The following is a 23,315-nucleotide window of genomic DNA, read 5'->3' as shown; positions in this document are numbered from 1 at the left end:
TCTTTCTGCCAGTGTGTTATCCAAGGTAAGCCCCATCTTTGAATACCCCTCTCTGATGTTATCAAAGCCCTGTTCTTCTTGTTTTCTAACAGAAGGGATATTAAGATATACTTATTACAAAGTATAGGCTAACTAGGTTAGCTCCTTGCTCCTTGGTGAACATGAAAATTGGCCTTGATTTCCATGGCTGGTCAACACATGACCTGCAGCCAACATCTGGGAGGAGCATTTCAAAGAGACAGAGCTCCTTGCATTGTCAGGAAAGGCTGCCAGGTTCCCAGCAGAGAGCTCTTAGCAGCCCATGTTCCCGGGCACATTCGTGATCCACAGAGAAGCACGGTGGCTTTTCAGCCTGATAAGCAATTGGTTATAACCTATGGCTGTGGTCATCTACCTAGCCACACGGCAATCAACCATTTATTCATCTCAGGGTTTCTCCATCGCTGCACGTTGACTGGCATTTGGGATTAGAATATTCTTTGTGGGGTTAGTGGGGAGGCTGTCTTGCACATTGTAGGATATCTAGCACTATCTCTAATCTCTGTTTACTAGATGCCAGTAGCACCTCCCTCGCCAATTTTGACAACCAAAAATGTCTCCAGACATTGCAGATATCTCCGGGAAAGTGAGTTTAGGTAAAACTCTTCCCCTGTTGAAAAACCTGTCTTACCTCAATGAAAGCAATGGCATCCCTCCTCCCAAAGAAGGTAGATGCTGCTACAGAGATGGGAGTTCATCAATTAGAATGCTTTCAGCTGCAATCCACAGCACTCAGTCAAGCATAGTTGCAATAGACTCTCTGTGTAATGTCCAGAAAAATACATGTAATAAAAATAATAATGCATTGAAAATGGAGTTAATATTAAGTGCTTAATATGTGCAAATATGTTAAAATTATCTTACTGAAGTCTCACAATAACCCTGAGCTGGTGTTACTGTTATCATCTCTATGTAGAAACTGAAGCACAGAAAGGCTGGGGAACCCGTCCTGGTGGCACAGCTAGAAAACTGTAGGTGCAGGATTTGGACTCAGTTGTCCATCTCTGAATTTACAGCCATCCTCTATGCCATAGGTGTGGGCATCTACAGCTACTTCCTGCACGTGACATGAACCCTTCTCCTTCCAGCACCTGCACCCCGATTTTCTCTTTTCCAAACCACTCTGTCTACACTTACAGACAGCATGTTTTTGGTGGGATTAATCTACCACTTCCAGTTCTAAGGGTAGCCTGGAAAATAGGTATGTTGATAGTTGCTGGCCACAATAAATGGATGACAGTTGGGTGTATGACTCATACCAAGCTGAGACAACTCAATCTGAGGACATTTATTGCACCTATTATAAAAAAGAGGCCTACTTTAAACTCTGAGCAGGGTCGAAGCTGGGAACCCTTGGGGTGACCATGTAGAGAACCAGCAGGAGAAGGAGAACAATGTGGGCGAATGGAGTTGCACAAATAAGTGAGGGAGACTGAGTCCCAGGAACATCATTCATGCCCTGATGCATTTGTACCTGAAACTCCCAAAAGTTTTATAGGGAAAAAAAATTCCTTTTTAAGTCTAAGTCAGTTAGAGTAGCAACCAAAATAAGCTTGACAAATGCATTCCTCTTCTCTCAGGCCTTCGGTTTCCTCATCTGTAGAACGGGTTGTTGAGAGGATTGCATGGCGTATCAGGAATGCATGACCTGCCAAACCCCACACAAATAGGATTGTCTGGAAGCCCAATAGGATAGCCCAAGCAGCAGCCCCCGGAGGAGCCAGCACTCTGGCTCTTGGGACCGACAGGTCCCATCCTGGCAGCACTGGGTAAGCACAGCTGAAAAGGCTGCGCACTCCTTTATTTTGTTCTAGCAAATTCTGCTTTTAAAGGTCCCTCTGGAAAATTCAACAGAAAGAAGCCTTCATCAAGAAAGCATGTCCGCAGTGCTTGCAATATCAGAGCAAAATGACAATGGGCACTGGTATTTTCGAGGAACATCAGAGATGGCCTCTGTCTCCTGCACATTGTACTGAGGAGTGCTTTCATCTGAGTGAGAGCCACAAGCTGGGGGTGAGGATGCCGGGCTTCTCCAGCCGAGTGCCTTAACGGGAAGGTGATGGAGGAAGAAAGTCCTGGTGGATGTGCGTTCACCTAACGTAGCTGGATGGAGTATCGAGAGCTTGGATCTCACCCTGGAGGAAAGTGGGGAAGGGGAGTCTGGAGGATCCAGCCCTGGGGGAAGTGTCCTAGGCTGAGCCTGAGACCCACAGCCTGCCTCTTCCCTCCCTCTCAATCCCATCTACACTGCATCCTCCTCTTGTGTTCCTGGATGTCCCCACTTCCAGGCCACCACCCTCCTTAAATATATATACACACACACACACACACACACACACACACACACACACACACCCCTTTGGAAGTAGAAACTAAAAGGACTAATAAATACAAAAAAACACACCCCACTTCTCTAGGAGCACAGGAAATGGGAGCTGATACAGCAAGGTGGTTCCAGGAAAGACTTTCAACAAGCACGATGCAATCAAAATGCTTTTGAAATAGGGATGCCTGTTTTTTTCCTTTCTATCCAAGATTTTAATTCAGTTAATGACTTTTGGAGTTTCAAGACATAAATGGTGCAGGTTTGCAATATTCAGGAACCCTGGAGCAACGACACGACCACAAACAAGTGCCAGCAGACGGGACTCTAAAGATGCCTTAGTACCCAGAATACTGGAGTACCCAGCATGTTTCTGAAATCATCACTTGCCACCTTATCCTGCCTCTCCTCCACACAAATTTTTAGATAGAAAGGGACTATATGTCACAGGTCCACTAATTCATGTGTTAAATCTTTCACAACAGACAAAGCTGTGATTTGGAGAACTCGAAAACTAAGACGACACTTAAATGGGCTAAAGAACGTGGAAGCAAGAAGGCAGAATTCGGGTCAGAAAGCCTCTGGTTCCTTTCTGTTTTCACAGAGCTGGAGTCAATTCTATGTTTAAATGTTTCCCACAACAGTAAAATCACTCTCCAATGTTTCACGGGAGCTGGGCTGCCTGGCAACCCAGATGTGTTATGGGGAGCTGCGGAGGGGGACAGGGGATGTAGCAGGAAACATTATTTCTTTACTTCTTCCCAAGCAGAAAGAAAATTGTTCCTTTTCTCTGTTCCAGAAGAATACATTTAAAATGACAAGCTGAAGAAAATGAAAACAAACCCTTCCTTTGGAGACATTCAACAGGGGAAATGAATTTCAGACAGACTGTGGGAAAATGAGTTTCCAGAGTTCTCTGAATTAGCTCCAAATCTGCAGTCAATGCAAACTTGGTCGTGTTTTAGGGTCTCTTCTGCTAATGAGGAGTCTGGGAACAGTCAGCTTGCTCCTGAGGAATCCACTCGATCCTGCAGATTTATTATGCCCAGTAGGAAAGAAAGAGCCAACGATCATGCAGGGCAAGCCAGGTATGTGGACAATGCCTTCGAGGGTTTCTCATATCCTCAGATATCAAATAGGTAAGAAAAAACTTCGCTCCCTGAAATGAAGCTATAACGGCATGCATGCAGACTGTGCTCAGTAATTAGAAGAGTGGATTTAAGAGTGCGGTCTAGACTCCTCCGGCGGAGAGGAGTTTATTCTCCACGTGGCGAAGGTCCAGATTCCCATTTGTAACTTTGCTTTTCCACCACAGGGAACACGGCCTGGTGTTGCCAAGGGGCATGTGGCAATTGAAAAGAACCAGGGAAAGACTGAGTGGCAGGCTCTGAAGCACGTCAGGCAGTCTGTATTCTCGGCCATGGGTCAATGCTGCCTTTCACCCACCCCCAAATTCACATCAAACGGGGAACTTCAGAACGCAACCTGATTTGGAAACAGGTCCTTTGCAGATGGAATTAGTTAAGGATCTCCAAATGAGAGCCTTCTGGATCCTTCTGGATGAGGGTGGGTCTCAAATTCAAAGACAGATGTCCTAGTAAGAGAAAGGACAGGGATATTGAGACACAGGAGAAACACAGAGGGAAAATTCACACGAAGACAGGGGCAGGCGTTGGAGAGATGTGGCCACAAGCCAAGGACCATCGAGGACAGCTGGCGAAGGCAAGGAAGGGCCTTCTCTAGAGCCTTCGGAGGGAGCATGGCCTTGCTGGCACCCTCATCTCAGGCTTCTGGCCTCTAGAAACGTGAGAGAACAAAGTTCTGTTGTTTCAAGCCACCAAGTTTGGGACAATTTGTTATGGCAGCCGCAGGGAGCTAATGCATCCTTCTGCTTTGAGGCATGATTTAAACCGAGAGACACAGTCAAGTCCCCCAAACTGCGCAGTGGTGGTCGAGAAGCGATTCTGCTGTCAGCTTCCATTTCTAATTTCTCTTTAGAGCCAGTAACTCTGGTTGCTATGTTCTTGGGTTCTGGCATGTCTGACATCAAGGAGACTTGTCATGTGGCTGCTCCCTTTAACAGGGCACATGTGTGAGTGCCATTCACTACGGCCCCTCCCAGATGAGCGCCAAGGGGCAGGGGATGGGGTGTACCAAAGGCTGGCCGCGGTGTGCAGGTGGGGAGTTTGCATCAGAACTGCGTCTGCATCATGGAGATAGTGTCTTCATTAGATTATGTGTTGATCTGGGCGGCCTGAGGGCCTGGCTAATGGAGATTATGGTGGGGGATGCTGAGGCCCTTTCAAGTATCCTCTTACCACTACCTCTCCCTCTCCCCTGGGAGCTTCCCTCACCTATATCCCTGGCCAGCCATATAGGCGCAGAAGTGTGCTACCTTCAACCCACATATCTGATTGAAGTTGACTGGTCCTTGTTTTGGCCATTCTCACTAATCAACAATGTTGAGGGGGTTTCTAAATGTGATACAGTACAAAGCATAATAATAAATTAGAAAGAGTGGTCTGGTCCTAAGAACCTTGTCAAGTAATGGGCAAAGCAAAACATGTGGCCACCTAATGGAAAAACCATCTGTAGAATAAATTTTTGAAAATTGGCTCAATGTTCAACGTGTAGTTAGTTTAGAGGCAATAAAGAAAAGTCAAGGACAATAGCCTTTTCCATGACACACATCATCTCTTGGGATATCACTTTGTCAAGTATACAATTCAGTATTTAGTATATTCACAAAGTTGTGCAACCATCACCACTACTTAATTTCAGCATGTGTTTATCACCCCAGAAAGAAACCCCAAACCCATTGGCAATCACTCCCCACATGCCACCTCCCGTTGTCCTGGCAACAACTAATCTACTTTCTGTCTCTATGGATTTGCCTATTTTAGGCATTGCATATAAATGGATTCATGTATTACGTGACTTTTTGTGCCTGGCTTTTTTTTTTTTTCCACTTAGCATCATGTTTTTAAGGTTCATCCATATTGTAGCATGTACCAGTGGTTTATTCCTTTTATGGCTGAATAATATATCATTGCATGTAAATATCACATTTTGCTCATTTGTTCATGAGGTGATCTACGCATACAGTGGTATATTATTCAGCCATCAAAAGGAAAGCTGATGTGAACATTTATGTGTTTTGTAATCATGTATATTTTGTGCATAAGTAGGAGACTCACATCTGAGCAGCCATGATTGGCGTTTGTCTATTAGAACAGGTATGTTCCATGAATCCCACCTCTCACCCTCCCATGGGAATCTGTGACTCTGCCCTTTGCCCTGAGCTGGTTAGAAACTCAGGATTAGTCTGCAATGGATTAGCCTCCCAAAGTTTTTTTTTTTTTTTTTTTTTTTTGAGACAGAGTCTCGCTCTGTTGCCCAGGCTGGAGTGCAGTGGCATGATCTCGGCTCACTGCAAGCTCCGCCTCCTGGGTTCATGCCATTCTCCTGCCTCAGCACCCCCAAGTAGCTGGGACTACAGGTACCTGCCACCACGCCCAGCTAATTTTTTTCCCTTTCTTTCTTTCTTTTAAGTAGAGATGGGGTTTCACCATGTTAGCCAGGATGGTCTCGATCTCCTGACCTCATGATCCGCCCGCCTCAGCCTCCCAAAGTTCTGGGATTACAGGTGTGAGCCACCATCACTGGCCCCAAAGTCCTTTTAAAGGAGGTGAAATCCACTTTTCTCTTTTTTTTAAGAGACAGGGTCTCGCTATGTTGCCCAGGCTGGACTTGAACTCCTGGGTTCACACAATCCTCCCACCTTAGCCTCCAGAGTAGCTGGGACTACAGGCAAAAGCCAGTCTTTCAACTCTACCTGAATTTCCTTGACATACAGTGAGATTCTAGAAGTGAATCCACCTATAAACCTCATCCTGTTTGGAAAAATAATACTTCTCTCAGTATTCTTGCATAAATCTTGCACATTTCTTCAAAGGCTTTCTTCCCTGTGTCCACCCTTCATCCTGTTTGTTTATTGGAACATGGTGAGAGCATACGCAGCTGTTAGGCACATGCAGCATGGTGTTGGCTTGGTTGGGGGAGATTTAGTGACTGATAAAATGACTGGGCCTCATCCACCAGTCAAAGCAGGACAGAACTAATGAACCAGGAGGTCCCCATACCCCACAGCTAGGAAAGAACATCACCTTCTGTGCCGAAGCTGAGAAGCAGCTCCTTGCTCTCTTATTTTCTGAGTGCACCCCTACAAAGCAAGGGCTATTAAAGACTGCACGCTTGGCATCTAGTCTCTCTTTCGTTCTGTCTTTATTCGTGAGAGAGGACTACCTCCTTATTTCACAGTGTTTAACTTCAAAAACAAATCTCTTAGGATTTATGTCCTGAAGGCTCCATTATCAGTCCTGACACACAAAACCCACCCAGCAAAGGACAAAGAAGCCATGTAATTGCTGTTCTATTTTCAGTTATGTTTGAGGGACCATCACAAGGCCCACATCCCACAGACCACCCAGATATCTCTATTCTCTGCAAGTCAAGGGTGTAGGCTCATGGTTGTCAACCAGGGTGATTTTGTCCCCCAAAGAAGACTTAGCAATGTCTGGAGACATTTTGGTTGTCAGACCTGGAGCAGAGGTGGAGGTGCTACTGGACTTTTTCTACTGAGTAGAGTCCAGGGATGCTGCTCCATATTTTACAATGCACCAGACAGCCCAACACAAAAGAATTAGCTGGCCCCAAACGCTGATGATATTGAGATTGAGAAGCCAGTCCCTATGCTAAGCATCTCTCTTCACTGCGTTGAGACATGGGGATGTGTCTATTTACTACACATAAATTCACGTTAGCAGCAGAGTATAATCTCCCAGTCAGGAGTGACGCTTTATGACTCTCTTAGCATCCCTAATGCAGGGTTTGGAATTGGTTACAAGTAGAGAACAAATCTCTTCCATGTCTATGAATCACACTGTTCAATTAAGTGGGCTTATTTTAAGTTGGAGAGGATGAATGATCACCGCCTCTGCTCTTTAGGTATCAATTTCATTGCTTACTGACAAGGCCAAACATTCACACCCCCTACCCGCAAGTTCTTCACGTTAATAACCTGCAGGGTCAAGACTGACCTACCTACTTACAACCTGCAACTTGAGTCAAACTAACACTGATTTTGGCAGCAGAGTGATTCTGTGAGCTCAGTCTAAGCTAGGCTTTGGGGAGGCAGTCAGTGGAAGTCATCCCATCCTCAGCATCCCCAGGGGTTCAGGAGCACAGAGGTACACTGAGGTGGCAGTGGGAATTTTCAGAACTGATGACCTCCATTGTCAATATATTTTGAACATCCTTGGAAAAGTAAATAATGCCTATGCTTTCTCTGAGGAATCCTGATCTTTATTTCAAGAAGACTCAGTTAATTATGAAAGAAAACATCCATGAAAAGGAATGTTTATGAAATAGGTTTGATATTAGGCATTTGGTTTTGCATTTATTCAATAAATGTTTAGTGGGGCTTTATTTTTTGCCAAGTCATACACCAAGGGCTGGGGATATAGCAGTGAACAGAGAGATGGAAAAAGGGCTTACCCTCATGAGCCAACCCACTTATATTTGTAAAACCTATCTGCATATGTGTTTTTCATTTCTGTTGGTAATTATTTTATTTTTTATTTTTTAAAATCGGCTTCCAAAATAATGTTATAGCTACAAGAAACAAAGGTTCCATCTTCCACACCTTGACTTTTGGGTCTCATGAACTAATTTGATTATAAAGCGAGGGTTGCCTTTGAATTCACTTTGTGAAGTTGCAAACAAAATCCAGTCTGCTTCTTTTGGCTCACGGAAGAGCGTCCTTTGTGAAAATGATCTTGCCAAGAAGGTTCACGCCAAGTTTCCATGTATGTTATTAGTCCCATAAACATTTCCAAGAAGTCCAGGCCCTCTCAGTGAAACCATTGTGCGAAGACCCATTGGAGAAAGTCTTTGGGTTTCTCAGTGAGGAGACATCATTCAAGGTCTCCCTGCATGTCCTCCATGAATTTCCCAATAGAAAAGATCCAGCAATGGACCTCGATGATCCAACATTCTGTGACCTGGGTGGATTTCTCCTGTGATCTAACCGGCAGCCATAGGTGGAGGCAGCTGGAGAGATATGGATGATATATACACCACATGTTCTTTATTCACTCATTGGCTGATGGGCATTTAGGTCGATTCCATATCTCTGCAATTAGCTATGCATACACAGAGGCATACAGAGTGCTAGAATGGATGCTAGAGACTCGGAAGGGGAGAGGGTGAGAGGTGGTTCATGGATGAAAAGTTACCTATTGGGTACAATGTACGCCAGTTGGGTGACAGGTGCACTAAAATCCCAGACTTCACCACCGTGTACTTCATCCCTATAACCAAAAACCACTTGTACCTCTAAAGCTACTGCAATGAAAAAATACAGTGTTGGTTCCCAAACTTCAGCGAGACTCATGCCAACTTCACTGTTATTCCCACATCTGTGCCCATCCTCTTATATTATTCGCTTCTTGAATATTTTTTCCTTAAAACGATGATTTTAAGTATTAAAGTATATTTTAATTACATTAAAATTATAATACACTATCTAGAAAGGGAAAACCTGCCTCTCCCACAGGCTTTCCATCACAGGAATGGCAGCTCTGTCCTTCATCCCCAACATCCTGATGCTGTGTCTCCTTCACACAAGTGTGCCCACAAATCTCATCAGTCCTAGCTTTAAATTTAATCCAGAATCTGCACACTCACTTACACCTCTGCTGCTGCTATCCTGATCCAAGTCCCTGTCTTCTCTCACCTAGATTACTGCAATACATAAAAATAAGTTACATCGTGACATTCCTTCTTCAAAACCTTCCGGTAATCCCCATCTCACCTGGAACAAAAGTCTTTACAATGGCTCACAAAGTTCAAGGTGATGTGAATCCCAGCTCCCCTCTGAGCTCGCCTCCCCCTACCTCTCCAATCTTCCATTCTGTTTCAGCCACATTTGTCTCCTTACTGTTCCTGTAACAAACCAAGCAAGCATCCCCAGGACCTTTGCACGTGTTTCCCTGCCAAGACCATGCTTGATTCAAATGCCACTTTTTCAACAAAGCCTGCCTTGACTGTCACCTTAAATTGTATTACCAGCACTTTCCATTCTTCCTCCCTTGTCCATTTTTTCCTAAGCCACTTATTACTATCCATTGTATTTACTTGGTAATTATATTATTTCATTTTTTGAGACAGAGTGTCACTCTTGTCACCCAGGCTGGACTTCACTGGCATGATCTTGGCTCACTGCAACCTCCACCTCCCAGGTTCAAGCCATTCTCCTGCCTCAGCCTCCCAAGTAGCTGGGATTACCTGTGCCCGCCATCATGCCCAGCTATTTTTTTTTTTATTTTTAGTAGAGACAGGGTTTCACCACGTTGGCTAGGCTGGTCTTGAACTCCTGACCTCAGGCGATCTGCCCACCTCGGCCTCCCAAAGTGCTGGGATTACAGGTGTGAGCTACCATACCCAACCCAATTTTGATTATTTTTATCTCCCCTAACTAGGAAATCAGCTTCATGCAGGCAGGAAATTTTGCCTGTTTCATTCAGTGCTGTAGAACAATGCCTGGCAAATGGGCAGGGGTCAGTACACATTAATTGAGTCAATATTTACCAAGTGAATGAAAAGAAATATTGTATCCACAGTGAAAATGGAAAACCACTGTTTTGTTTGTTTTGTATTTGGGCTATCAAAAGAAAATAACCATAAACAATGAAAGCAGAACAAAGTTCTAAAATTCCAGATAGAAAAGAAGAAGACTTGGAAACAGTGACCTGTCTTTCCTTTCGCCAAAAAAAAAAAAAAAACAAGATTAGTAGGTGCTGTCAGGATGTTAGAGGTATGCTAGCAGAGAACAAGACTTTTCACTGTAGCATTAGAAGAACTGAATGACAACTGAACACAAAGCCTGTGTACACTGTGCAATTCCATGGTGCTTAGTGTCTAGCATTGTACATCTCTTGTACACAGCTGTGAGCCAACACACAGAAGTCCAGAGCCTTCGCACTCATCCTAGAGAGTTTGCTGTTCATAATGCTCATTTTATGCAGGATGGAATTCCAGGGACTCTGTCTTTGCCAGCTGGCTTGAGGCTAAGCTCTCTGAGGGCCTCTCGGATGTTATCTAGCTTAAGGCAGACGGTGCCCAAATACCTATTGGTTTCTTGACAAATACCAGATTCAGAAAGAAGGGCGTGCAGTCTTGGAGGCTGTACTAACTATGCCCTTTGGTTGTGTCACTTCTTGGCACACATGCACATTTTGATTATTTTTATCTTGCCTACTAGAACATAAGCTTCACTTGGGCAGGAAGTGTTGCCTGTTTCATTCACTGCTGTAGAACAATGCCTGGCAAATGGTCATGGTTGGATACTTGCACATTGCATTGATGATACAGAAACACACAACGTATCTAGGGGCCTGCGAAGATGGCATCTCTGCACAGGAAGGAAGTTCTCTGTATTCCTTAAAAAAAATAAAATAAAAAAATACAGGAGAAGCAGACCGAGCTCATCTTTTCCTAACGGACACTAAAAAGACTCTGGCAGGTGTTCAAGGAACTAATTTTCCAACTGAACTTCCTTGCCTTTGAAAATGTCTTCAGTCACACAGATAAGCTGGAAAGAGATAAGGTACCCTAAAACCTACATTCTGACCCAAACATCCTCTGTAGTTCGGTTAACAATGTTATGCCAATGCCAGTTTCCTGGCCTCAATATTGTACTATGGTTATATGAGGTGGTACCACCAGCGGAAGCTGGGGGAGGGGTCTACGAGCAATCACTGTACTATTTTTGCAACTTCTTACAAATCTGTAATTATTTAAAAACATAAAACGTTAATTTGTTTAAAGAAGCGCCTTCAGTCATGTTGGAGAAACAGGAGAATTGGACAGAGGGGGAGAGAAAGAGGGAGATTAAGGGAAGGAGAGAAACAGAGAGACTCCACATAGAGCAAAATTCCATTTGCCACACTGTTGCCTGCCAATCATTTTGGCAACTCAAATTAAGCCGAGACTCTGAAATGTGTACGCCGTCCGTAACATCCCCTTTTTAATCAGTGAAATTCCATCTTCAGAATGAGAATGAACCTCCAAGACGGGTCTTCAGATGGTTTGTTTGTTCCCTATTCGTTGAATTCCGACACGCCTGAGACACAAGGACTTGCATTTGCACACGTGTTTGGGGAACGTCTGCTGCTCAGACTTTCTCATGAGCAATTGCTTTTAGCCCTTAGGAAATTTGCTTCGAATTTAAAATCTGAAGTAAGGAAATATAACACGTGCCATATCTTGGTGAACAGGGAGTGAGGTGGATCTTCTCTCCCCAGGACTTTGATCTGTGATGGCAAAGATCGGAAGGGAGGGAATACGGCTGCTGCGCTCCACGGCACCAAGCAGTACCCTTTAATGTGACTAAGTCTTACACCCCAGAGCCACGCCATTAGTAACCTCTGTGCTACAAATACTCCTGTCATTATACAAAGACACTGCTTTTTAAACAAAATCATAGTACAATGGGAATAATAGAATTTTGAGAATAAACTTGGTAGTTGTTTTACACAACACACAATGTCTGTTTACTGCGAAGATACAATTCAATGCTTATTGAAGGTTTGACGGGTGTTTAAAAACAGCCCTGTTAGTAATATTCAATATTGACAGAGAAGTTTCAGTGCACCAGACACTGTTATGAGCACCCTGCAAATAAATATTAGCCCACTGAATCCTCACAACCCCATCGAAGCAGGTACTACAATTACATCTGCTTTAGAGAGGAGGAAACTGAGGCACACAGAGGTTAGTTAACTTGCCTACCAACACACAGGCTGTAAGTAGAACAGATAGGATCAGAATTGAGGTCAGCTGGTTGGAAGACCTTTGTTCACCACCACCATGCCTATCTTTGTGATGAAAATTTCAGAAAACAGATCCTCCTCTCTGAAGAGCCCCATCTAAGCATCCCTTCCAGGTACAGCTGTAAGGTTGTGGACCTTAGACCTAGGGACCCAGGTGGCTTGGCTCATGCTCACCCTGGTAGACGCTAGAGACTACATTTTCTGAAGAGGGACATTAACAAAGTGCAAGGGGGAAGATGATCACTCTAAAATTTTACAACTACTTAGCATGCCATGCTGGAGACGTTCTGTCTCCAGCTTCCAAAGCCAGGGATAGATGCATTTATTTCATGATTGATCTGAAACTCAGGGGGCAAGAGGACTTACCAAAAATTAAACTCAGAGCTCCCAGATCAGCATCTTTTCAAATCCAAGCCATGGGGAAACAAACCCAGTATTCAGACCCTTTTTCTGAATATTGACTCTCCCGGCTCCTCAGTCACAAGGTCATGATACTTTCAATAAGCCGCCGATACGCTGACAGCGAGACCTGTCCCTCCCCACCATGATGTCAGCATGTCCCTCACTGACCACCAAGGTTCACAATGCAAATGCAATGAGAATCCCTTGTACAGTAAATCTCATAAAAAGATGTAAGAGTTCATGACGTCGCTGAAAGGGGTGTCATAGCAGTCCTCCAAGCGTATCCAGAAAACATTAGCAAATGAAGATCTGCAAAATTAGTCTACTTAAAAATTGAAAGGAAAAACTATAGAGATCATGACAAGATGCATACTTCAGAAGACAATTATTTGAATCTGTAGGATTAAGATGAGAAACTAATGGAAACCTCTGAACCTTTTTGTAAATGAAAAAACAAAAAACTTTAAAAATAAGCATCCTTATAGCTATATTACAAAAGTTAAACAGAAATGAAATATGCTATGATAGGCTATCATTCTAGCTTGCAAATATTTTTCCAAGCAACTCATTCAAAATGTGATTAGGGCTGAATTCTAACAAGAGCCAAAGCATAGCTGCAATTACAACCTAACTCCTTCTTAACTATAACAAGAAAAAAACATTTTTATCCCATTTATTTTTTAAACAAATTTAAAACAAATACTTCTTTCATTATTATGACATTCTAGTACACATTGTAAGAGGATTTGCTTTAAATGAATTTTAGCCCCGTATTAATTATCCTCAGAAAACATGTGCTCCTGTACCAAATTCTAGAATCATTATACAGAGTGACAGAGCAGCCCTGTCACAGCTCAGATGCTGCTCTCTGTTGAACCCGCCATGGTGACAGTAGGTGGATTATGCTGCTGCTTTGTTTATTTGTATTATAAGATGGAATACCTTTGCTGAAGAGTTTTATGCCCGGCATGTTTGCTTAATTATTGCTAAGCTGTACTCATGCAGTAAGGCCTCCCAGACACTAACTGGCAATCTTTAACACCACCTAATTAAAAAAAAGGGTACTATGTTTGGCTCTTTTCACATATATACCCAAAGTGAGATCTCATCTCTCCCCTGCCTTTTCTTGGGCTTCTTGAACGTAGACTTTCAATCAAGCAACTCAAATGGTATCTCATCAAAGGATTCACAGCAGAAGAAAAATCACATCCCTCTCCAAGTGTGAGGATAACTGAAGGTCTAGAGAGGCGGATTACTCTCATCTTGCTCCTTTTGGAAATAATTTCTGCCCGCCCTTTGCCTCTTCTTCCCTCCATAACCCACGGTGTAAGGAGGGCTGTTGAGAGCATGTGGGCAGGTGCATAATTTGCCTTCCCCTGTTAATGCCAAACGGTCCCTGAAGGTAGTGAAAATCGATGCTTCCTGAATATCTATCTGCCACGCATGGAACCCAGTCTCACACCAGGCATGCCAAAGATGATCAGGGGCAAGCATGGGCACCTACCTCAAGATGAAGAGGTCCACAGAGGAATTGCTCGAGATGGTGACATAGGCCGTGACCACCTCTCCCTGCTTGACTGGCCTGGAAGGCAGCCAGATGACCACGTTACCATCCAAACGCAGCTCGCTGAGCTGGGCGCTGTCCTGGGCCCGGTAAAGGCCGACGGTGCCGATCCTCTGCAGGTGGGACGTGGTTTCCTCCAGCCCATCCTTTCCTGGACGGATGGCGTTGCCCTTCCTGAAGTCACCCCCGGCACAGTCCCCTCGCTCGTTTCCTGGGTGCACGGTGTAGTAGAGCTCCACAGGGGTCCCCTCCGGCTGGTCCATGGACTTCTTCCTCCCGGCACCCACCGTCGGGGCACTGAACCAGCTGGACAGGAGCTCCAGCTCAGCCACACACAGCCCCAGGTCCCCCTTCAGCCGGCAGCTGCCCCGCACCTCTCTGGTTTCTCGGAAAGCAAAGACCCTCAGGCATGGCAGCTTCTCCCCGGCGCCGTGGTCATCCCAGTCTCTGCCCATGATGTGGAAAAGAACCTGCACTTTGGGCCGGCTCAGGTAGACTTTGTCCCGCAGGATGTGGGCTTTTAGTTTCCAATCAAAACTAAACTTATTGGTTGGACCTAAAAAGTTTGAAGTCAACATCAAGTCCAGAGGCACAACCTTCTCCACAGAAAAGGGTCCATAGCTGGCATTGAGCACTGGGGGCTGCCTGGTTTTGTAGGTAAAGAAGGACTCCACCCTCGCCTGCAGGCTGGAGTTCCGCAGCAGGTCCTGGTTGGCTTCCTTGAGGAAGAAGGAGGTCTCTGCTCTGAGGATGTGGTAGCTCACAGGTAGGTAAGGTGGCAGTGAGGAGAATCTCTGTATGTTGTCTGTGACCCCGTGACCCTCTATCACTAAAAAGGGAAAAAGAAAGAAAAGAAAAAGACAAAGACAGGATTATTAATGGGCTGCTCATTAGCTGTTAGGTCTGTAAGCCATTTAGAAATGAGGGATAGAAATTCTGAAGCCCACTTGGCTAGAATTTTTATATTCTTCCTGGAATAAGTCATTAAACGATTCTACATGGTCCACGAATTATGCATATAGTTATATTAGGTTGAAACATATGAAAATGAGAATTCTGTAGAGTAAGATTCATTGAATGGTGGCAGTTTCATAGAGTTCAACTTAACAGAATGATGGTAAATTACCTATAGGAGTAAAGTGGGTATTTTATTAATAATTTGCATGAGTTTAAAATGTACTTAATGGCACTGGTACATGAATAGCAAAACAGGCCAATGAATGAAGTCCATATATAAACTCAAGAACATATGGAAGTTTAGTCAGTGATAAAGGTAGCATCTCAAATCCTGAGGTAAACATAGACTGTTTTTTTTCTTCTTTATAATATTTTTTTTAATAGAGATGGGGTCTCACTATTTTGCCCAGTCTGGTCTTGAACTCCTGGGGTCAAGCAGTCTTCCAACCCCAGCCTCCTAAAGTGTTGGGATTACAGGCACAAGCCACCACACCTGCTGCAAATGTTGACTTTTAAATCACTGGTGCTAGGACAACTGTACAGCCATTAAGAAAAAAGTAGATCCACACTCCACACCGTACATAAGACCAAACTTCAAATGGATCAGCAATATAAATCAAAGAAGTTACATCTTTCAAGCACTAAAGAAAACATGGATGAATTCCTCTATAACCTGGGTTTAGGAAGAGCTTCACAATTATGACTCAAAATCTAAATGCAATTTAAAAAATAATAAATTTGCCTGTATAATTAAAAAATTTGCATTACAAAAATACCATAAATAAAGTCAAAAGGAAAATAACAGGCTGGGAGTAAATATTTGCAACACATATATCACATTAAAAGGGCTAATGGCCCTAATATACAGATCTTGAAATTTGAGGAAAAAGATTTTTAAAAATTGAGAGAGAAGTGAGTAAAGGATATGAACAGATATTCACAAAAATATATTAAAATTATTTATATATATATATTTACAACTATTGAGCCTCACTCACAATTAGAGAAACACAGATGAAAACTACAAATACCACCTCTTACCTATAAGACTGACAAAAATTACCAAGTATAACACACAATGTTGGGAAGTCGACAGGCAATAGACAGTCTTAGTATATTGCTGCTGAGAATGAAAAGCGGTACGACCTTTCTGGAAGGGAACTTGGCATTACATTTGCACTTTTCTTTGACTCTTTCATCTTACTTCTAGGAATCTACTCTGAAGATACACCTCTGGCAATCAGAAAACACATACACACAAGATCATTTATTGCAACATTGGTTTTTTTTTTTTTTTTTTTTTTTGAGACAGAGTCTCGCTCTGTCGCCCAGGCTGGAGTGCAGTGGCGCGATCTCGGCTCACTGCAAGCTCCGCCTCCCGGGTTCACACCATTCTCCTGCCTCGGCCTCCCGAGTAGCTGGGACTACAGGTGCCCACCACCATGCCTGGCTAATTTTTTTGTATTTTTAGTAGAGATGGAGTTTCACCATGTTAGCCAGGAGGGTCTAGATCTCCTGACCTCATGATCCACCTGCCTCAGCCTCCCAAAGTGCTGGGATTACATATGTGAGCCACCGTGCCTGGCCTCAACATTGGTTTTAAATGCAAAATATTTTGACACAACATTCATACCTCTATGCAGAAAAATGGCTGAATGAACTACAGTAAATACACACAGTGGAGTATCATGAACTGCAATAAGAAAAGGAAGAAGATCTGTATGAAGCAATATGGAGTGCTTTCAAAAATATACTGCTAAGTGAAAAAGCATGGTGCAGAAGGCTGAGTATACTAACTTCTGTGTAAGAAAGAAGCAGAGTATATTAGCCTGTTTTCACACTGCTAATAAAGACATACCCCAGACTGGGTAATTTAAAAAAGAAAGAGGTTTAATGGACTCACAGTACCACATGGCTGGGAGGCCTCACAATCATGGTGGAAGGCAAAGGAAGAGCAAAGGGATGTCTTACATGGTGGCAGGCAAGCGAGCTTGTGCAGGAGAACTCCCATTTACAAAACCATCAGATCTTGTGAGACTTACTCACTACCCCGAGAACAATATAGGGGAAACTACCCCCATGATTCAATTATCTCCACCTGGTCCTGCCCTTGAAACATGTGGATTGTTACAATTCAAGGTGAGATTTGAGTGGGGACAGAACCAAACCATAGCAGGGAGATAAGCAAATGTCTCATTCATGTAACACACATGAACTCACATGAAAAGAAATCAGAGTCTACAAGGTTGGTTATTAACAGGGATTGGGTGAGAACCAGGCAGAAATAAAGGGGGCTGAAGATGGGGAGAAAAGATGGAGGGTGTTGCTTTTTTGTATAGTTCTGACCTTTGGAATCATGTTAATGTTTGACATATGATAATAATATCAACACGGGTGAGTAAAAACCCTGAATTGGTTACAAATGGAAAGAAATGAACTTAATTGTATTAATGAATATCAAAACCACATTGCAGGAGGGTAAGGGAGAACTAATCCAAGTAATTTTGGACACATATTTTGGCTATAAATCCTGAGGCTAAAGACAACAGAGAATCATAGACAAACATTGAATGATAGTGAGTAAATTTGTTTTGGACAAAAGTACGAATTAGCAATTCTGAAACTACTTTCTGTATATTTCTTATCAAGTAGATAAGAAACATATTGTGAACCCGGGAGCCTGGTGTCTCACCGTAAGGGAAGGGGTTACAAATATAGAAAGGGACATGGGCAAAATGAAACCTGCAGTGGGTTAGAATGGGATTGGTATATATAAACTCCAGTTTATAATATATATATTCAGATAAAGAAATAGAGGTAGATTGTGTACACATATGTATGTGTGCATGTGTATGTACATAGATGTTTTTCTTAACTCTGTCCTCAATGAGATCCCAAGAGCAATAATCACATCTAGTACCCAGATATTGGTTTCTAAATACCATTCTTCACTAAAAGAAACCAGGATTCCTTGGAAAAGTGTCTCATTCCTAGTACAAGAAGAACCTGGAACACCTATCTTATTGTGTCAGAAAAGAGGAAGGGCCCTTAGAATGATCAGAATATGTCCAAAGGATGCAGGAACAGCAGCACTGAACACACTGAAGATAATTTGAGCATCAAAATAAATAATGATGTTAAAAGATTGTAAGCCATTAAATGAAATAAGAATCTATGACTCGATGATACTGTCATAAAGTCAGATCGAAGCGACAGTTTTTCCTTATGATATGATCCAAACTGATCATTGACAACATTCACAGTAGTGATTGATCCAGGCAAAGGTCATAAGAGGATGCTAAAACTATCCGGTGAGGGTTTCATGAGTAACAGGAGATTCACATCATCTTAAATTGTCTTCCAACAAGTTAGCCCCAAGTTGTTCACTGAATTACAAAGGACACACAGGTAGGTTTCGGTGGAGAAATCTGCCAGGCAGTGCTTTAACCAAGTGACCAAAATTGACATCACCAGGAATGCAGCCAACAGAGAACTGTCCCCCAACATGCACACACAGAGAATAAGACAATATCGGTTCCCTAGTATTTCTGCTTAAATTTGCATAATTTGCATCTAATCATGAGGAAATGTCTAAGGTTCATTCTATGAAGTAATTGGCCTATACTCATCAAAAATGTTGAGGTCATGAATTAAGAAGAAAGTTGAAAGAACTGTTCCAGATTTGTGGATAAAAAGACGTCTAAAGGTACACAAAACTGAAGGCAACACATGATTAGAAATTTTATTTTCCTATAAAGAATATTTTTGAGACCATTGGCAAAATTTGCAATAAGCCTCTAAAGTAGCTAATAATTTTGTATCAATGTTAATTTCTTCATTTTGATAATTGTACTATACTTATATAAGAGAACATCTTTATTTTAAAAAACACATATTCAGGGCCAGGCGCGGTGGCTCACGCCTGTAATCCCAGCACTTTGGGAGGCTGAGGTGGGTGGATCACGAGGTCAAGAGATCGAGACCATCCTGGCCAACATGGTGAAACCCCGTCTCTACTAAAAATACAAAAAAAATCAGCGGGGTGTGGTGGGGTGCACCTGTAGTCCCAGCTACTTGGGAGGCTGAGGCAGGAGAATCACTTGAACCCTGGAGGTGGAGGTTGCAGTGAGCCGAGAGCATGCCACTGCACTCTAGCCTGGAGACAGAGTGAGACTCTGTCTCAAAATACATACATACAAACATATACATATACATATATATGTGTGTGTGTATATATATTCAGAACTAGTGATAAAGTGGCATTATGTTTGCTTGCAATTTACTCTCAAACAGCTTGGGGTGGAGGGGAACTCAGGTGAAAGGAAACATGGTCAAATGTCACCATTTGAGGAACCTGAGTGAAGGGTATATGAAAATTCCTTTCACTATTCTTGTAACTCTTCTTTAAGACTCCAACTGTATCAAAATAAAACTGTTCGTTGAAATAAATAAAATGTAAGCAAGACATCTTGGTCTTTTTTTAATTCCTCATTTCTTCCTTAGAGATTTTTCCTGTTTATATTTATTCATTTGTTGGAAAAAATAGTAATAAGATAAGCCATTTTTCCCATGTTACTCAAAAATAATGAGTCAATGCCCCACCATATTATTATTCCTAAATTCGTTAGATTCTTTGATAATCTTGATCCATTTGGGTGGAGAGTGTCTTTTAGTCATTGATCACCAAAGACACTATCTTGTCATCATCGTCTTCTTTCTTAGCCGGGGAGAAAGTGTTCATTATTAACTCTTCCAGGTAAAATGAGTTAGCAGAATGAATAAGCATGCCACCCTCTCTCCACTGGGTGGGAGCCCAGTTCCAAGGCTCGGGTCCCTCTGGCCCCCTACTGAGATTCAGCACACCGAGTGGCGATACTGATTGGGGTGTAAACTACATGCCTCTGGGCTCTGCATCTGTTGAGACCCGACATCGCAGACTGCTCACTCTGGGGCTCCACCCAGCCTGCAGGTAGGTTTTGCTTGGCCCACAGTGTTTTTTAAAAAAATCTTTATAAAGTGAAACTCAATTTTTTAAAACTGGGGAGTCTCTGGGTTTCCAGCTTGTCTTTGAAGATGGGAGGAACTGGAAACATTTGGGATTTCTCCCCCCATGGTGATGATGGGAGGAGGTGACTTACAGCCCCAGTGTTGCTGTCATCCTACACTGAGCCCGCTGTGCGCCATGGACCGGCCTGCTTGTCTGTCAGGTGCTTTTGAGTTTGAGATTCCTGATTTACAAGATTCAGCTGGCTAAGTTGCTGAATACTGGGGGCTCACAGGCTCAACTCCAAGGTAGGAAAGTGCAGCATGTCACCCCTTGCTTCCAGGGTTATTTGAACCATCCCTGACATCAACAGAAGGACCACAAGCAACCTCCTTGCTATTTGAATATTTTCTTTGCTAAGATCCCCCATGAGCTTATGCTACATGAGGGCACGGCTAAGAACTTGCTACACACTCATGACCCAGACACTTCAACTGCCGCAATTGCTAACTTTGAAAACCCAAGAAAGCCCATCTCCTTGCTTCTGTTTTTTAAAACCCCCAGAAAACCCAAACAAGCCTGCATTCGTATATTGAGAGAGGAGACGGGAGTTGCTCTCTCTCCTTCTTTCCAGCCTTCCCTGCTGTCCCTTCCTCTCAGTGCAGCCTGTGCAACCCGCCAGCATATGGGGCAGCCTGGCTCTGCTGTCCTCTGGAAGGACCCTAATCCTTTTCCCGGCAGGGACACTGGCGAGCAGATCAAAGCTGCCTTTGGTGCTGCAGCCAAACGGACTTGGATTGTCAAGATGGCTTTTCAAAGAAATAACATTCTCTCCTGTTCTCAGCCCAGAGGCCTTGTTCTGGGGTCACCAGCAACAAGGGCACATTCGCCTCCCTCTCTTTAGGGATGGCTCGGCGCTTCCATTTTAACCCCCTAATTTCAGAATCAGCTTAAAACATGCACAAAAGGCCCTGCCGAGGTATGACATTCCAGAAAGAGCTCTGGCTCTATGTCCTTAAACACGGACTATTTAGGCAACTTGTAATATTTTGTAAAAACCAAAAGCCACATCTGATGCTTTTATTTTGAGGTATTTATCCCAATCCAAAAAAATACTCTTAAATCTTGAAGTGTAGGGACTTAGAGACTCATCTGCTTGGAGAAGGTTGTGAGCCAAGGGCTCTGTGAAGGGGCGGGGCACAGGATTCCAGGCCCATCTGCAGTGGGAGCATTCACCAACAGGAAGTATTTGTCAACAAGCTGTCTTGTCATTCATTCTTCATTCTTCCTAGACATAAAGATTCCTTTTCTCTCCTTTTCTTAACTGGAAAAAAGTCTAAAGGAAACCCGTTTGCTTTTAAGCAAATGCTGAGTTTATTTTCTATAAAATACAGATGGAGTGGGCTTGTGGTCTCACCTCCTGTCTTAGGGTTCTTCCATTCTTTGAACAGGTCACTCTTTATCCTTCACATGAGGAAAAGTGAGAAGGGATGAAGTGAAGTGAAGCCTAGCTCATCCCTTCCTGTTGAGCCTCATTCTGAATTCTTCCAGCTCCTGAGAGATTTGACTTGAGTTAAGAAGAGACAGACCATAAAGAAAGGAGCAAGGCCTTGTATAGTGGCTAAGGGAGCTTCACTTTCCATAAAGAGGAGAGAGAGACAGAGACAGAGAAAGAGAGATTGAGACCTGTTGATCTAGATATGTAGCATAATAACAATAGAAGAGCAATTAAAAAATGGCACCCCATCTCCTGTATCTACACGCTTATCTACAACCTTTGCATAAGACTTTGCAGTTCTCCCATCAAGAGGTGGAGTCAGTTTCCCCACTCTTTGAATCTGGGCTGCCTTGTGATTTGCTTTGGCCAAGAAAATATGGAAGAAGTGACAGCGTGCCTCTTCTGGGCGCAGGTCTCAAGGGGCCTTGCACATTTCCACTCTGCCTCTTTTGGACACCTGATAGTAGGAAGAAGAACAAGCCTGGGCCAACCTGGAGAAGAGACCATGTGGAGGCGAGCGGTGCGATCCCAGCTGAGGCCATCCTGCATCAGGCAGCCCATGCCCAGCCCCAAACAAGTGAGCAAGTCCAGCCAAGATCAGAAGTCCTGAGACTCAGGAGGCCTTGAACATGATCAAGCCTCTACATTTCAGGGTGTTTCATCATGAAACAATCCCTCACAGAGCAGCCAGCAGTCATCAAGAATTGACCGTATGATTAGTCCACTTTCATACTGCTATGAAGAAATACCCGAGACTGGGTAATTTATAAAAGAAAAAGAGGTTTAATGGATTCTCAGTTCCACATGGCTGGGGAGGCCTCACAATCATGGTGGAAGGTAAAGGAGAAGCAAAGGCACATCTTACATGGTGGCAGGCAAGAGTGTGTGTGCAGGGGAAGTGCCCTTTATAAAACCATTAGATCTTGTGAGACTTATTCACTATCATGAGAACAGCACAAAAACCTGCCCTGATGATTCAATTACCTCCCACCAGTTTCCTCCCATGATATGTGGGGATTACGGGAGATACAATTCGAGATGAGATTTGGGTGGGGACATGGCCAAACCATATCACCATGTTCTAGGTGTGTTTTTAAATGCTTTCCATGTGGAATGTCAATTAGCTCTTCACAACAATCTTATGGGGTATCATGATGCTCACTTTTTATAGAAGGGGAAATTGAGGAATAGGGAAGGTAAGTAATGTTGCCCAAGATCTCCTGGTTGTAAGTGATGTAGCTGAAACTCATGCCTGGCTGTGTGGTTCTAGATGTTCTGGTCCACTTGGCAACAGGGCTCACCTTGCTCTACTCCCTGCCTCCCAAGTGCATGAGCGTTCATTGAGATGATGCCTACAAAGTGTTCAGCAAGTGCCTGACTCGTAATAAGGGTGCAAGTAGGGTTATATCTTAATTATATCTTAGTACATCCTTGTTCCAGAGTTTTAAATTTATTATCGAAGTTTAAATACATCTTGCTCCTTCATATCTCCAGGGTCTCACACATGGCCACTCCTTCAGCCTAATTAATTTCCATTCGGTTCCCAGATCCACCTCACCTCTTCTATTAATAGGAAGCCTCCCTGACTTCCACACTAGGTCCAGTGCCCCTCCCAAAACACCATGCACCTCTTTTTTATATCTTTTCACACAGCT

The 23,315-nt window shown here is 43.4% G+C and overlaps 1 protein-coding gene across 3 annotated transcripts in view; it reads right to left on the bottom strand.

Moving 5' to 3' along the window:
* TMEM132C (transmembrane protein 132C) overlaps positions 1 to 23,315 on the bottom strand; it is a 440,742-nt gene that overhangs the window by 278,130 nt on the left and 139,297 nt on the right. For all 3 annotated transcript variants that reach the window (NM_001136103.3, XM_047429886.1, NM_001387058.1), the window contains exon 2: positions 14,162 to 15,050. In NM_001136103.3, the coding sequence (NP_001129575.2) occupies positions 14,162 to 15,050 (889 nt within the window). The remainder of the gene's footprint in view (positions 1 to 14,161; positions 15,051 to 23,315) is intronic.

The sequence above is a fragment of the Homo sapiens genome, chromosome 12, assembly GCF_000001405.40.
Source record: "Homo sapiens chromosome 12, GRCh38.p14 Primary Assembly".
Taxonomy (NCBI): domain Eukaryota; kingdom Metazoa; phylum Chordata; class Mammalia; order Primates; family Hominidae; genus Homo; species Homo sapiens.
This window is presented reverse-complemented; position numbering and strand designations above follow the sequence as displayed.